Source organism: Homo sapiens, chromosome 15 (assembly GCF_000001405.40).
Source record: "Homo sapiens chromosome 15, GRCh38.p14 Primary Assembly".
NCBI lineage: Eukaryota > Metazoa > Chordata > Mammalia > Primates > Hominidae > Homo > Homo sapiens.
The window spans coordinates 27,344,752-27,362,414 of NC_000015.10; the positions used below are offsets into that span (position 1 = coordinate 27,344,752).

The 17,663-nt window shown below is 42.5% G+C and overlaps 1 protein-coding gene across 2 annotated transcripts in view, besides 1 other annotated feature; it reads left to right on the plus strand.

The window, feature by feature from the left end:
- Positions 1-17,663, plus strand: part of GABRG3 (gamma-aminobutyric acid type A receptor subunit gamma3) — a 570,804-nt gene that overhangs the window by 373,571 nt on the left and 179,570 nt on the right. The gene's annotated exons all lie outside the window — the stretch shown is intronic.
- Positions 13,749-14,249: an enhancer, noted in NCBI's record as "H3K4me1 hESC enhancer chr15:27603646-27604146 (GRCh37/hg19 assembly coordinates)". NCBI's record gives its function as "activates a minimal SCP1, AML or CMV promoter by ChIP-STARR-seq in primed H9 embryonic stem cells {active_cell/tissue: H9 hESC(primed)}" and the evidence as "EXISTENCE:reporter gene assay evidence [ECO:0000049][PMID:30033119]".

Below are 17,663 nucleotides of genomic sequence, written 5' to 3' on the forward strand. Positions count from 1 at the left end.
TGGTAGCTGAGTAAATTTTTGTATTTACTCGGAGGGGTGTTTAAGTCTCTAAGTATAACAGTGGATATATATATATATTTCTCTTTCAATTCTTCCAGTTTTACCTCTTGTCTTTTAATGTTCTTTTGTTAGGTACATGCACGATGAGGATTATTTTGTCTTCTTGGAGAATTAACACATCTATTATTGTGTAAGGCCACTATCTATTCTTGACAAACCTCCTTGTTCTGATGTCCACTTCGTCTGAAATTAATATAGCTTTCTAACTTACTTTTGATTAGTGTTAGCATTGTATATATTTCTCTATCCCTTTCATTTTAACCTGCCTGAGTCTTTATGTTTAAAATGAGTTTCTTTAGACAACATAGAGTTGGGGCTTTTTAAGATTTTAATCTACTGTGACAATCTCTGTCTTTTATTTGACATATTTAGAGCATTTACACTTAAAGTGATTATGAATATAGCTGGATTAATATCTACCATGTTTTCTGTTGCTTGCATTTGTTCTTTGTTTTCCTCTCCATTTTTTAACCTTTTCTGGTTTAATTGAGCATTTTATGTGATTCCATTTCAACTTCTCTCTTTGCACATCAGTTGTACTTCTTATAAAAATATTAGTAGTTGCTTTAAAGTTCACATTTTACATTTTTAACAAAGCAAAGGCTTCTTGCAAATAATATGATACTGCTTCTTATGTAGTACAGAAACCTGGATAGAGAATTCCTAATTATTTTATCCTGTATCCTGCAACATTGCTGCCCTTTATTTTACTTATCCATGTGTTATAATCACACTGTTATAATTATTACTTTACAAAGTTATCCTTTATAAAAATGAAGAAAAAGAAGAAATACATTTTGTTTCCTTTATACTTTCTCTAGTACTCCTTTCTTTTTTATATAGATCTAAGTTTCTGGCACGCCACTTTTCTTCTGCATGATTAAATTCTTTTAACATTTCTTGCAGGGTAGGTCTGCTCTTGACAAATTCCCTTAGTTTTTGTTTGTATGAGAAACTTTTGGCTGAGCACTGTGGCTCACACCTGTAATCCCAGCACTTTGGGAGGCCGAGGCAGGGGGATCCCCTGAGGTCAGGAGTTCAAGACCAGCCTGGCCAATGTGGTGAAACCCCATCTCTACTAAAAATACAAAAATTAGCAGGGCATGGTGGCACACTCAGTAGTCCCAGCTACCCAGGAGGCTGAGGCACAAGAATCACTTGGAACCCAGGAGGTGGAGGTTTCAGTGAGCCAAGATTGCACTGCTGCACTTCAGCCTAGGTGACAGAGTGAGACTCCCTCTCNAAAANNAAAAAAGAGAGAGAAAGAAGAGAGAGAAAGAAAGAAAGGAAAGAAAGAGAAAGGAAAGAAAGAGAAAGAAAGAAAGAAAAGAAAGAAGGAAAAAGAAATTCTATATTTCTCTTTTGAGGGATAATTTATCTGGATATTGAATTCTAGTCTGGAGCTTTTTCTTTCTTTCAACATTTTAAATATTTCACTCACTCTTCTTGCATAGTTTCTGAAGAGAAGTACATTTGAATTCTTGTTCTTCTTTCTCAAATGTTAAAATTTACACCCTTCATTCCCCAGCTTTTTCCAAAATTGACTGTTTTGGCTTCCTGCAGTGTGAATATGGTATGACCAAGTGATCTTTTAATTGCATTTTACATTTATCTCTTTATTTACTTTAATCATGGTGTTATCTGGGCTTCCTGTTTTGTAGTTTTTTTGTCTGTCATTAATTTTGGAAGGTTCTTGGCCATTATTTTTATACTTCAAATATTTCTTCTGCTTTTTTCTCCTCCTTTTGTTATTTCAATTATGTGTACGTTACACCTTTTGTAATTCTCCCATGGTTCATGAATGTTCTAGTCTTGCTTTTTTTGATGCTTTTTTTCCTTATTTGTTTGAGAAGTTTAACTGACCTATTTTTATGCTCAATGTTCTTTCCTTGGCTGTGTCAATTCTACTGATGACCCCTCCTGCTCAAGGACATTCATCATTTCCGTTACAGAGTTTTTCATTTATATCATTTCCTTCTTCTTGTTTCCAGCTCTCTGTTTACATTATCTAACTGCTCTTGCATGTTATTTACTATTTCCATTAGAACCCTTGACATATTAATCACAGTAATTTTAAATTGGTTGTCTAATAATTCCAACAACTGTGGCATATAGGAATGTGGCTCTAATGATTGCTGTGTCTCTTTACATTGATTTTTGTTTGTTTGTTGTTTGTTTCTTTTTGTCTTTCTGGCATGCCTTATAGTTTTTTAAAGCTAGACACACCGTGAGGTAAATAGTCCATTAGGATGAGAATTCATGTTGGTCTGACTAGGAATTGGGCTGTGGTTAATGTCTACTGTAGCTTTGGGTGCCAGAGGCTTAATATTTTTCTAGCATCCTTGTGTTTTTCTCTTCTTTCGACTTTGGGCTTCCCTAGGTACTTCTCCTCACATAGAGTCTGCATCTTGCAGTGCTTCCAGCATTAATCCCCTTTACTATCCTGGAGCCCTGTGGCTGTGATGGTTTAGGGTGGAGCCAACGGAGGTTTGTTCTGTAATCTTACATTTGCACTCTGATCTTTAAGTGGAGCTGTTTTCCTGGGCTGTGGCCTTCAGAAGTTTCTTCAGTGGCATAGGTTTTCCTCCCTTACTCCTTTTCCCTTTCCCAGCTACAGTGCCCCCCAGTCTATTTCCTAGAAGCCCTAATCCCTGCTTACTATGCCCACTCCCTTAAGTGGAACAGGAGGGCTAGAGGAAGTTTGACTGGGAGGGATAAGGCTCTGGTAAGATCTTTCTCTGCTAGAGTAGGTCACTTTTATGGCAAATGCTCTGGTGTATTTCACAATGATTAATTCTGAGATAGCCCTGCCAGAGAAAATATGGGATCTTTCTTGCATTTTCACTTTGAGAACCTTATAGGATTCCTGGAGGAAAAGCTCAGGAAAGTGTTGGGGGACCCCTTGAGGTGGTTGTCCCCCAGAAGTTTCTCAGTCTCATGCCCCTTCACACTCAGCCTCCACTATTCATCAGAATGATTATTTCAGTGTTCCTACCAGCTTATGACTCCTGCAGCTTCTGCTCCAGGTAAACAGATACCTGCTGTGACTCTCTATTAACCTGCCTCTGCAGATTTCAGGGGGGGTTTCCCTGTGGTTGCAGTTGTCTGATGGGTTCAAGAAAAGTCATTGATTTTCATTTAGTGCAGCTTTTTCTCATTGTAAGGATGAGTGTGACAACCTTCAAGCTTTTTTTCATATTAGATTTGATACCATAAGTCCTTGCATATGCCACTTCAGTCACAGTTAATGTTTAAGAGCTGGGGATTTCTGGAGGCGGAGGTCACAGTGAGCCGAGATCATGCCATTGCACTCCAGCCTGGGTGACAGAGCGAGACTCCATCTCAAATAAATAAAGAGTTGGAGATTTTCAAAGGCAGGTGTCATTAAAACTTGAAACCAAAGATTGCTGACTGAAATTGGTGTCATATACACTACTCATTATTGGAAGCAGTAAGAATCTCATGCTGGTGCAATGAAGGAACCAAGCTGCTTGGTCTTTGTCTTCAAGGACCAAACGGGGTCAAGAGAGTCATGTACCTAACCAAGAGTTAAGAACAGTATCTAGCATTTATTGAGCACTTACTAGTCTGAGACAGTTTTAAGTGCTATATTCGTGTATTGATGAACTAATTTAGCCTTTAAAACAACCCACTGTGATAGGATTATGATTCTCTTCATTTTTTCAGATAGGGATACTGAGGTTCAGGGTACATAAGTAACTTGTTCAAGGTTATGTGAGTCATAGGGTGTAGTCAAGGTTCTAAAACAAGCTCCAGACCTCATTCTTTTAACCACTGTACTTTGCCTCTTTCCAATGATTAAGTGCAGATAATCTACTAATACTAATACATAATAATGCAAGCCATGACAAGGGAAATAAAATTTCCTCTAACATTTCAGATGGGAGGTATTACTCCTATCATGGGAAATCAGAGAAGAGTTGACATTTTAAGTTATTAAAGTCAGGATTGGACACACAAGAATAGTGGCAGGGGTTTTTGGAGGCAAGAAAATGATAGAACTGCCCAGGAACTCCTAAGCAGTATGCAGTGGAAAATAGAGGGAAGGCAAAATGTGGGGTGCTTTTGAATTAAGAAGTGATGGGATCACATATATGTTTGAGAAAAATCAGCGTGTAGTGGGACACAGGAAGAACTGGAGAGGGACAGTATAGAGCCAGATAGACCAGTTAGACAGTTGGTGTCAGATGGTTGTTATTAATGGCAGTGGGAGGGGAGCATGGGCAGGAATTGACAAGGAATTGTGAGCCACAGAATAGGAAATAAGAAAGAGGAAGGAGTTAAAATGACTTCAGTATTTGATGTTCATATGATTGGATAATGATAAAATAAGTTGCTAATGACCAAATTTATACATATATATATATCTTTTTTACATACACATTTTATAAATACTATATATACGGTATGTATAAATTATATATAATTGAATTAAAAAATGAAATAGGGGCTTGTAAAGAAGAACACATAAAATATTCCAGGCTTCTGGCTTGTTATACTTAGTTGGGCCTGAACGTAAAATGAAGCTTGAATTTCCCAGTAGCCAGAGAACAAGGGGAAGTGATGTCTGCCTTAACCATTGCCTCTGGGTTGGGATTATGCCATTTCTTCGAAGAGACACTCTTCTAGACTAGGGTTAAAATCTAGAGGGAATTTATTTAACTCAAATACAGAAAACCACAAAAGTCACAAAGGTTGGTGTCCTTGGCTTCCACTCTCAATGGGACACTGCAGAAGCTGCTGGGGTCGACCCTGTCTTTGAATCTTCCAGCAAGAGAACATGCTCGCCAAGCATCTGCTCTGTCTCCTTCTCCTTGCAAACCTCCTAAGGGCATCTCTCTGTTGTTTAGTTAGGATAACAGAATCCTGTCTGCTTCCACAGCCTTGTGGAAAGTTTTGCACAGGCACAGTTTATCAAATAATTACAGAGGAGAACTGAGAGGCTTCATAGAGCCTGTGAATTTAGAGAAACCTAGACTCTGGGAAAGCAGTTGCACTGGATTCTCTCTCCCCGGGACATGTCCTTTCTGGCTCTCTATAAAGTTGCAGAACCATGTTTATCTTTTTGTCATACCTGACTGCATCCTTTACTGCCCTAAGGTCTTTTTTTTTTCTTCAGTGACAATAACAAAAAAAAACCTAACTTTCCCATCGGTACTCACTTCTGGCTACTTAAATAGTAGCCAAAAGATTACCAGGTTAGGGTTGCAGTTTTCCCCTTTATACACACAAAATCTCTAATTTAGATAAATTGTCACTCTTATCACGTTTTTCTTCCCTGCTCACTTTCCCAGCCACCATCTTGGCCTTCAGATTGTCTCTTCATGCATATCGCTGACGTTTAAAAGTTTCAAGCTTGATGGTGTCTTACAGATCACCTCCTCGGAGACTCGCTTCCATTCGTGGGGAAATGAAGGCTCAGAGAGGTTGCATTTGCCTCCATGGGGCCCACAGAGCTGGCTGGTGGTTGCTGTGAATTGGGAAATCACATTTTCTGACTTCTCATCGCGTGTTCTCACTACTCAACACTGGGAGGAACCATTGAATTAAAAGTTCAAAATCAACTCGATATTTTCCAATTGTTTCTTTGTTTTTTCAAATGGATATCAGTAAATAAAAATGGACACATTCAGTATAAGCAGAAGCCTTCTGTCCTCAGGGAGTTCGCAGTGCAGTTGCAGGTAGGACAGATGGCGAAGGCGTGGGAGAGCAGTTACCCACAGATGACCAGATGTGTGTGGAAACCCCCTCCTCTCTACGTCCAGGGAGTCTGGAGGGAGTCTGGAGGGAGTCCAGCGCATCAACACCACCAGGGCCAGCGCTGGAGGATGGACGGTGCATGATGGGCCCAGGAGAGGGAGAGAGCCTGGTGAGGAAGTCCCCAGAGCCATGGGGGAGGAAGACAGCCCCAGACCTGGCAGACACCTGGCACTGGCCTGGGGCGAGTGCTGAGGTGAGGACAGACAGGCTTTGTGGCCTGGGCTGACAAAGGGTCTCCACAGCCCTTTATCAAGCCAGGCAGCCATGTATTTGTCCTTGTGAATGGTGTGTGTGTGTCGTGTGTGTTTGTGTGTGTGTATCATGTGTGTTTGTGTGTGTGTATCGTGTGTGTATGCTGTGTGTGCATATGGTGTGTGTTTGTGTGTGTATGGTGTGTGAATGCATTTACTTGTGTGTATGGTGTGTATGATGTGTTTGTGTGTATGGTGTATGTGCATATGGTGTGTGTGTGTGTATGGTATGTGTGTGTATAGTGTGTGTATGGTGTGTGTGTATGGTGTGTGTGTATGGTGCGTGTGTTTGAGTATGGTGTGTGTGTATGGTGCATGTGCGTATGGTGTATTTGTGTGTATGTATGGTATGTTTGTGTGTATGGTGTTTGTGCGTGTATGGTGTGTGTGTTTGTGTGTATGGTGTTTGTGTGTATGGTGTGTGTGTTTGTGTGTATATGTTGTGTGTATGGTGTGTTTGTGTGTATGGTGTATGTGTATGGTGTGTGTGTGTATGGTATATGTGTGTATGTGTGAGTGCCTTTGTGTGTGTATGGTGTGTGTGTATGGTATATGTGTGTATAGTGTTTGTGTGTGTGTATGTGTGTATGGTGTGTGTGTATATGGTGTGTGTGTTTGTGTGTGTATGTTTGTATGGTGTGTGTATGGTGTGTGTGTGTTGGTATGTGTGTATGGTGTGTTTGTGTGTGTGTTGGTGTGTGTATGGTGTTTGTGTGTGTATGGTGTATGTGTGTATGGTGTGTGTGTATGGCGTTTGTGTGTGTATGGTATGTGTGTGTATGGTATGTGTTTGTGTGTATGGTCTGTGTGTGTGTATGGGGTATTTGTGTGTGTTTGTGTGTATGGTCTGTGTGTGTGTATGGGGTATTTGTGTGTGTGTGTATATATATGTGTGTATGTATGAGTGTGTTTATGGTGTTTGTATAGTGTGTGTTTGTGTGTATGGTGTCTGTATATATGATGTGTGTGTTTATGGTGTATGTGTGTATAGTGTGTGTGTTTGTATGGTGTGTTTGTGTATGGTGTGTGCGTATGTATGATGTGTGTGTATGGTGTATGTATGTATAGTGTGTGTGTGTTTGTGTGTGTATGGTGTGTGTTTATCGTGTGTGTATGGTGTATGTCTGTATAATGTGTGTGTATGGTGTGTGTGTGTATATATGATGTGTGGGTTTATGGTGTATGCGTGTATAGTGTGTGTGTGTATGGTATGTGTGTATCGTGTGTGTGTGTATGGTGCATGTGTGTGTATGATGTGTGTATGTATGGTGTGTGTGTATGTATGATGTGTGTATTGTGTGTTTGTGTATGGTGTGTGTGTTTGTGTATGGTGTGTGTGTTTGTGTGTATCTTGGATCCTTTTAAGACTGCGTGGCAGTGTAGGGATTCTGCCAGACCGTTCAGCTAATCTCCGTCTCGCGCTCACTGTTCACAGCGTAAATCCAGACCCATAGTGAGAGGAAGAGGACCCAGGGAGAGCACGATTATCCCCCGCACACTTCAAGGGGTGATGGGGTGGGATCTCTGCCAATTTCTCTTATTCCGTTAGCTGAAGCTTAGAAAAATAACCCAGGAAATCCCACAAGATGTAAATCCAGGGTGAGCCAAGCAGATTGATAGTCTTCTAATTAGTACGAAAAAGATTCGAGAATTGGATCCTAGGAATGAGAACACAGGGGCCGGCAGTGTGTCTGGATGAGGAACTGTGCCGCCTGCTGTTCAGGTGCTATTTCTGTCCGACCTGTGGGACAGGCGCTCACACCACCCCACACTGCCCCGGGGAGGCAGGCCAAGGAAGCCCCCTGCCAAGGCAGCAGCCACATACCAAACCGTTGGGTGATATCGGTCTTGGTTATTGGTCCCTAGGATTGTGCTTGAGAAAGGAGCTCAGTGTCTTCCCCATATGCCACGTTTCACGCAGATGCATGGGGTGATATAGCGCAAGGTGGAGGGTGCAATATGGGGCCCAGGTATAGCAACACCTAACTCATAGGACTATGGGGGGCGTAAAATAAGACTCCAGCACATGCTCACTTGGTAAGTCATTGCATCTGCATTATCTTATCATCACGATTGCTGACAATGAGCCATTGAAAGCGAGTGGATCGTTTGATGGTTGGGTGTTAGGTATTTGAAGTGTGACGTCTACAAACCTCCCGACTTCTGTGTTCCTTCATGTTCTTTTCCCTTTTTATTACACAAAAACTCCTCCTTTGCAGACCTGAGAATTGTCCTTGATGTTTTTCCTTCCCTCCCTCACTGTCTTTGTAGGGACCCTGGCAGTTCCCTCTTGCCCCTACCTGGGCACCTACACACTGTTCTCATCAGAGTAGACACACTGGTCAGCTGTGTTCCTGTAACCAATCTCCATCTCACTGGGAACAAAAGGCCAGTCCTAACCATGGCCCCAAGGCTTCCCAGTACCTGCCTAGCCACTCTGCTTGCTCCTGCATAGGCTCAGCCACAGGGCGCATGTGTGTCCTACACTTGCTGGGCATGCCTGCCTCAGGACCCTGCAGCAGCTCTTCTCTTACACCGGTGAAATCCTCTTCCCATAGATGTGTGCATAGTTTTCTTTCTTTCTATTTATTTATTTATTTATTTATTTATTTATTTTTGAGATGGAGTTTCGCTCTGTTGCCCAGGCTGGAGTGCAATGGCACGATCTCAGCTCACTGCAACCCCTGCCTCCGGGGTTCAAGCAATTCTCCTACCTCAGCCTCCCGAGTAGCTGAGACTACAGGTGTGCACCACCACATCTGGCTAATTTTCATATTTTTATTAGAGATAGGGTTTTGCCGTGTTGGCCAGGCTGGTCTCGAACTCCTGACCTTAAGTGATCCACCCACCTCACCTCTCAAAGTGCTGGGATTACAGGGGTGAGCCGTGGTGCCCAGCCAGTATGTGCGTAGTTTTCAATCATTCTCCAGATCTTGGCTTCAAAGTAACCATATCCAAGAAGTCTTCCCAGATTCTTTGTGTAAACTAGTACCCGCTCCTCAGCCCTGGACTCCATTTTCTCTGAGATGCTGTGCATGGTCTAGTTTCTGTGTTCATTGCCTCTCCCACCCCATGGGGCACCATAAGGACAAGGAGTTTTCTTTGCTCTCTCCTGCACCTCCAGCCCCTGGGGCAATGCCTGGCTCTGTAAGGGCTCAGGAGGGAAGAAAGAAGGGAGGGAGGAAGGGCTTGATGAGGTAGCTGGCTGATTGCACAGTCATCACTTTGGCTCAGATCCAGGCCTGTACCGACTAAGAAGCTGGATGCCTTTGGGGAATTTACCCTCTAAGCCTTCGTCTCATAGCCTGAAAAATTATGGTAATACTAGAAGGATGAAGTTTATCAAGCCCAGGTAGCATGGTGAGCTACTCTTCACACATAGAAAACTGACAGCATTTGTGAGTTATCATTTGTGCAATTATCACCATGGGAATGCTGCAAGCCCCTGCGTACCTCCTTCTCACCTTCTCAGAAGAGCAGGATGGAATTCAGTGGAGTGCAGGGCTTGCCACACCCTGAATCATTTCTAATCAACAAAAGCAAATCCTTCGCCAACATTCTGACTATGCTTAATGGAATATGACTTGACCCATGCCTACATGGCTATGGAACTGCAAGGGCACCACCCGTCCCCAATCTTAACAGTCCAAGTCCCCGTGTGGGTGGCACTGCCTGTGTGTGGATGCAGGGCTTGAAAGCTGAGCATTCACCAGGGGCCTGAGGAAGGGCAGGAGCACTTAGCTGCACTGAGAAGCACCAGGAGGAGATTTAAGAAATGCTGATGCATTTTCTGATTTTTATGGGTTGCAGTAGCAGTATGCCACAACCAGAGAGACTACTGTAGGAACTCAACAAGCAGGTTTACTGTAAGGTTCTGTTATGTGAGTGGATATCTCACATGCATTTAAAGTATGATTCAATTCCCACAAGCTCAATGTCTATCACAATCTTATGGAAGAGTCTCATTAACTAGACAAAAGCTCCCAAAGTTCAGTGGCTGCAGCTGCTACATTCAGCACCACATGCTCAGTACAAAGTCTAGGTGATTTTTTAAAGATTCCTAAATGAACATTTGATGTCAGGCCATTCTCTGTTCATGCCCAGGACCTGTGTGATATGTGCTTTCTGGTTCTAATCGGAGGATCATTGAGAAGGAGAGAGCTCTGCCAATAATTATGAGAGGGCAACAAAACTCAGTTGTGTGGTGCCAGGAAGACCCAGGGTGTTTGGCCATTGCCGGCAGCTAAAGGCCTGTCTCAGCTGCCTTCCGATGAGCCACACCTGCTTATCTCTTAGACTGTTCATGTCTCAATATGTACCACCAGATGAGAGCTGCTTAGTGATCTTTAGTCTGTAACCTCAAATGGATCTGTTTCCTGTAAATGAACAGACCATGGAAAGAGGGAGAATTAAAGCATGTGAGTGTGCAACTCAACAATAAAAACAAACATAAGGTAATTAAAAATGGGCAAAGGGTTTGAATAGACATTTCTCCAAAGAAGTTATACAAATGACCAATCAGCACAAGCAAAAATGCCCAGCACCATAGGTCATGAGGGAAATGTAAAATCAAACCCACATGAGATGCCACTTCCCACCCACTAGGATGGCTATAACACAAAAGATACCATAACAACAAGTGTTGGTGATGATAGAGAGCAAGCACTTTGCTGGTGGAAATGTCAGGTGGTTCTGCTACTTCGGAAAACAGTTTGGCAGTTCCTCAAACAGTAAAGCATAGAGTTACCATGTAACCTAGCAATTCAAATGTTAAGTATATAGCAGGGAAAACATGAAAACATGTATTTACACAAAAACTTGTACATGAATGTGCATAGCAGCATTATTCATAATATACAAAAAGTGGGGGGAAACCCAGATGTCTATCGCTAATGAATGGGTAAATAGAATGTGGTCTGGACATACAATGAATATTCTTCAGCCTTAAAATGGAAGGAAATTCAAACAGATGCTACAACATAGATAAACTTGGAAACCATGCAAAGTGAAAAAACCAGACACTAAAGGACAGTATGATTCCACTTATATGAAATACCTAGAATAGACAAATTCATAGAGAAAAAAAGTATATTAGTGAATGCCGGGGGTTGGGATTGGGGAATGGGGAATGATACCTAAAAGGCACAGATAGGGTTGTTTTTTGGAGTGATGGAAAAGGTCTGGAATTAGATTGTTACTGAAACCCACCAAATTGTCTACTTTTAAAGGGCGACCTTTATAGTATGTGAATTACAGCTCAATAAAGCTGCTATTTTAAAAAAGAGTATCAGTGATTCAGAAAGTGTATTCATCATAATTAATTTTATAGTCCTATAACAAATTACACTTCACCTTTGATTTCCATGATAATTTCAAAAAACAGTGCCACCTGGAAGAAAAAACAAAGATATGAGGGAAGGGTAGGGGGTGGGGAGAGAGGTCTTCATGTGTAACCAAAGTTGACCTCTCACAACTCTGTGATTCTCATTCTTTGAATCAGTGATTCCAGGGATAAGCCTACATCTCCCGCTGGGCCTCAACATTCGTTATTCATTCCTTTGGCAGCTATTTTTTGAGAATGTACTATATGGCAGGATATCAGAAAGGAGCTAACATGGTCCCTCGGCTCTTCTCTTCAGACTAATCTCCATCTTTTCCCCAACATCTACATATAGGCTCAGTCTGCAAAGGAAAAGCTGTTGATGGAACTTGCCACTATACACAAGAGAAACTCTAGAGAATTCTGCTTCTTAGATTTAATCCTATAAGTCTAAGAAGGAAAATAAAGGATCATTGTTAAGGAAAAACAGGTGCTCCTCAATGTTTATCAAATTAGTAAAGAGTTTAACCAACCCAAACAGTCAACAGTCAGAAATGGGTTAAATAAATCCTGGTGTACCCACACAAAAACAGTAGGCTGCCCACTTTGAACATGATGCTTAGGATTTGCATTTCATTGAGATGGAAGGGGTTTCTTGATACAGGGTTGAGTGATGCATGCAATTAGACCACAGCAAGAGTCACATAACCCTATAGGTTTATTTAATGTCTGCAGGTAAGCAATGAAGTAAATATTTCACCACGTTAATTCTAGGTGATGTTCATTCTATAATGAGTGTTCATTATAAAATCCTTTCAACCTTTTTTGTATATTTGGAATTTTCATAATAGAATGTCATAAAAATAAATGATCACCAACAGTAGGAAGTTTAATTAGACCCAGTTTTTTAGACTTCTAAAAGGGGACTGCATTGGGCTGCACTCCAATATAAAAATTACCCTTGTGATCACGGCGCCTCTCATTGTGTTTTAACACCCATCCTGTCGCTCTGTCTTCCCCAACACTGAGAAGAGACTAGCCCTTCTTGCACTTCCTCCCTGTTCTGCCAGTGGAACCATTCCTAGTGAGTAACTGAATTTCTTAAGATCCACTGAGTCTCAATAGAATCTACATTAGCAGCCATGAAATTCAAGTGGGTAAATTGACGTAGTATAAGATGTAAAGCTACTGGTCTGTGGACACACAAATACTGCAGAAATGCTCTCAGTCCTACACAAGGCTCTTAAACATTATTGGAACACCACCCAAAACTTTTATTTATGTGGATTATCTCTATCATTATTCACTATATTAAAAATTTCAACTTAGACATTCAAAAATATGTATTATTGATTAATCTAAATATAATAAAAAGCCTACATAAGTGACACATTTCTAAAAAAATAACTCTATTATACCACCCAAAAAGAAAATTTAGTAAGGACAGTGACATTGTTTTACATTTTTGCAAATATCTTTAATGTCTGGCTCAATAAAAGACAGATGATTTTCATATCTGCTTCCGCATTCAATCTGTTGCAACATGTAATTTCTGTGAAGGAAATTTACCCTGAGCTGGATATGAAAATGGATGGTGATTTTATTAGACTTTTCAGATAATGATGCATACTCTTCCTTGACATCACATCAAACTCAACAACTAGCAGTTTCTTGGAGTTTAATTCTAATGTGGAACCTGAAACTCTATACTATTCATATCTTGTTACCTTCCCAAACATTGGTTTATCTTGTACTTTAAATGTACCTTTTACCCATGCATGAATTTGTAACTTCAGGCATTGGAAAATATTGGTTCACAGAGTTATGCTGATCATCCAAATGTTGACACGATATTACAAAAACCACATTTATTAGTCTCCCAACCAATTGTGTTAGAAAAGTATTTAAATATTGAGAAGCTACCAGACTCATGAAGGTGGATACGAGCTTTCCAAAATTCCAATTTCCACTGGAAATCTCGACTTTTAGTATTGGCAACAAATACTGCCAGTTGTTTTCTTAGAAGTGACAGACTCCATTCATTTTCAAGAAAATGGCTACCAAACACCCCAGTCTGAAAATAACCATAGTTTGTTGCTCTTACGAGTGAAAATGCTATTTCATACACGAAGCTTTGTCCTTCAGCACCCAAGATTTAAGGATAATTATGGATGAATATTATGGATTCATTTTAAATCCTTTGGCAAATCTGCTCTGGGGGCTTCTCTGTCAGAAGGTCTCTCCTTCCCAACTCTAAGAAACGTTATTCCTATGCAAATGCTGCTGAGTCAAGACGGGGAGGGAAGTGCAGAGAGAAGGGCTGGTGGCATGGTCAGTAAGTCATGAGGGTGAGATTAGGGGTGACACACTGCTTGCCAACGTAGGAGAAGGCTCTGCCCTCACCTAGCAGGTCTGATGGAAGCCCCTTATTCCGTCCTTCCTGCCGGGTTCCACCGAGATCCAAAAAGGAATGCTGTGTAGGAGCACATGATATGTGATAAATGAGAGAAAGGTCAAACATTTAAGGAACGCCCAGAGAAAGTACTGCATAAGAAATGATGCGTTCCATATTCAAACACACAGATCAAGCTCTTTCTATGGGCTAAGTGGTGTGCCCCCGAAAAGCAAGGGCTTTTTGTTTTTCTGCCTTTCTCCCTACGTAGGAGGGCCTGGTTGCTGTGTGCTCTGGGAGCTTGTTGGTTTGAGCACCCTGAAGCTCCGTGCAATGCCCGCTCAGTGGGCCCCGGCAGTGCAGAGGGCGCTTCTCCCGGGGGTCCTGGTAAGAGGATCTAGGCTTTCCCTGGGGAGGACCCGGCGGGGCGAACGCAGGCTCAGCGCAAGAGCCGCAGTGACACCTTCTGGTGGCTGCCTGCACTGCAGGCTCCTTTTATGGACAAGTTTTGGGGGTGAAGCTGCAGAGGGGTACCCCTAAGGTGGCCTCTCCCTTCTCCTATCCAGGTTTGGGAGGCCACCCGGCCTCAGGCCCCTGTCAGGTCTCCCACTGCACCAAGATTGACTACATGCAGGGCGGCTGAGCTGCCTGAGGCCGGGTGGGAAGGAGGGGTGCCCTCCCCGCTACGGTGGGGAGACCTGCCCCTGTCTCTGCTCCTCCAGCTCGCTTGCAGGCACAAGCTGCTTTGCTTAAAATGTTATGTCATTAAAAATGAAATATGTTCCTTTTATTGCTTATTGTTCTATGTCCCTCTTTTTTGTGGTGTGTTTGATTTTATTCAGATTTTAGTATTTTCCACAATGGTCTGTGACTAAAACTTAATTTAATGAGAAGAGATATATTTATTCAGTTCTTTATTTTGAAAGTGATTGAGTTAAACATAAAACAAAGCTAGGATGAACAGTACAATTATATATCATCCAGGATATTATAAATTCTGATTTGAAGCTAAGGAAACAAACATTGGCAATCTAGCCTCATGATTAAGAACATAACAGAACATAAAATTAAATAAAAAGAAAAGCACCTTTATGACTGGCATACTCAGTGTACGCATTCCCATCAAAATGTTTTTGTAAACGTTTCCATAAGTCGCCGTAGGCAAATGGCATGTTGCGGTTTTTGAACGTTACATAGATATCTTCTATTTTCATGCATCTTCCTTGCTGTAAGACAGATTCAAAGCAGAAGCTTACATAACCCAGAGAAGTCATGCCAAGTTTATCTGAACATCTTTTTAAAACTTTCAAGTTCTCTGATTTAGTTCTGATACACATATTTCCATATACGTTTTTCTTGTTTGTTTGTTTGTTTAACTTACCTACTTTGTTCCTCAATTGAACATGTGGTTTTTGAGTGCCAACTACACATTGAGCCCTGTGTGAAGGTTTGGGGACAGAGGGACACTGAGCCCAGCCTCCAAGAGTCAGAAGGGAGCATTTTCAGGCCACAGTGCACTGGGTCAGGAGTGCTGCAGGAAGAGAAGCAAATACTGTGGGACTCACTAGACAATCTCAACAGGGAGGCAGTGACATCCAGGCCCTGCGGAGGACAGGGAAGCTTCTCCAAGGGCTATGGCTGGGGAGACCCTGTAAACAGACTTAGACACACACAGTGTTCATCCAGCACGAGTAGCCCTCTCAGGTGGCCCCACTCTGCCTGAGGCACTGGATTCCAAGCATGGACAGAAGGGAGGACTTGACAAGGTCGGGTGGAATGGGCCGCGACCCCGGCCTGTGTTGGAGATCTCCTGGGCAAAGATAACCAGCTGCTCTCCATCTGGGAGTTATGGAGCCCTGTATTTTACCTGGGAAACTCATGGGCCACCAGAAACACACTTCTCTGAGTGTGTGCTTGCTTTAATGAGACTGCAGGAGATGGAGATTTTATCAGCATGAATCACCAGTGGAGAATAATTCCTAATAGACAACCCATGGCTGTCCAAAGACCTCAAGAGCATTCCCCAATCCGAGATGGGCCGGGATGAGGTGCCCGACCTCTGTCTGGAACCTTGCCCTTGGGTGTGTCCTTGGGTTGGACACTCCCCTTCCAGCCTGCTCCTGCTCCCCTGCAGCCTCTACATAAGATCTGCAAGGGCAGCCCCTTTCTGCCAAAACTGGACTCCTGCTGCAAAGATGACCCTGGGAAGCTCAAGGGTTCCCACATTAGTGTTAACCTGTCTGCCTCAGGCAGGTTCCCAGCCCAAGAACTTTTGGCTCCCTGATGAGTTTGTGGGATGCTCTCTGACGGCACTGTCTGGCCATGAGTGGGGGACTTGAGTTCCAGCTCTCACATTCACAGCTGAGCTCTACCTCTCATGAGCAGTGTGAGCCTGGCAGACTTATTCTGTGACTGACTGGAGGCCTTAGTTTCCCCAACTGAGAAAGGGAGATGGTAAAGGACTGAGGGGCCCGTGTGAGGCTGAGACACAGTCAGCTGTGACCACTCATAGCAAAGCCCTGGCAAGGGGCAGGCCCTCAGTGCCTGCGGTCCATCATGGCTGTGGCGTTTAGCTTTCCTGGCTGTATGGGGCACGAGAGAGCAGGGTACTTCTTAGTGACAGTGGAACTGTGAAGGGAGTGTGTCTTTGTGGCACTTTGAGCTGGAGGATTTAGCAGAGCACTTGGAGTTGTGAATGCGGTGGCCACTGGAGCAAACCTTCTCAAGTGACCCACCATAACACATTTCTGGGTCTTGGGTGCTGCGGTCTCTTTTCCAAATGGTATCTTGGAGGCAGGACCAAGCCAATGTGGCCTTGGGATTCTGAATTAACTTCTTCCCAGGATGACGCTAAGGCCCTGAGACTCAGGACTGCCTTGGTGTTCTCCTCAAACAGCATTCTATTCCAGAGGACAGCATGAAAGGAATAGTATTATTTTCCTGGGTAAACGTCCCATGAAATTGACTTTAGCAACCACCAGAGGAGTAAGATGGCATGCCTTTCATCCCCCTTGAGCTCCCCTGCCAGAGAAGACTGGAGACCTCGCCTGTTGGCTCAGAGCCCAGGGAGAGGTTTCCCAGGACCAGGCATAAGCACACTAACATTTAATGAGGGTGGGTGGTCAACAGTCTTTAAGGATGAGAGGACAAGCAGCTATTTCGGGCTAATCTGTTCTTATAGAAATGTCACTTGCTTTCTGTTATGTTTCTGAATCTGGCTGTCAGCTGGAGTCAGGCTAACAGAACACGACGTGTCAATTAAGCCACATTACAAGATTTCCCATTAGGTCTGTAATTCCAACATTTCTGAAATTATTGTAATCTGTGTCTTTAAATATTAGGATTTATTTAGCTGATGTTCAATAGTCCCTTTAAAGATAATCTGATAAACCTCCTTTTTATTCACTTTTGAGAAAAGACCGAGGTAAAAATTAATATATACATGTATATCTTGCCCACACACGCTCATGATGTTTTCCTAGTTCTGGACTCAATGTATTTAATGATGATAATGACACACGTTAATCATTCAGAATGATTTGTTATTTGTTCGCATGAATTTCTTGCTAGACTGGATGTTCTCCCAAGCTATTGAATGCTTTCAGGAGCTCAAATTGGCTCAATTAAAATGTATGAAAAGAATGTTAAAAGCACAGGAGCAAAGGTAGCAAAGTGACACCTTCTACTATCATCTGTCTGTTTTGCTCATGATCAGAAATACCAGGAAGCTGATTTCACTTCAGTGACAGAATTAGGTGACCATGTAGAATCCAGATGGTAGGTTCAACCAAGAGTGAATTTTTGCATGCAGCAAGTATCCCAGCAAGATTTGTCTGGGAGGTTCAGTTGTCTAATTAAA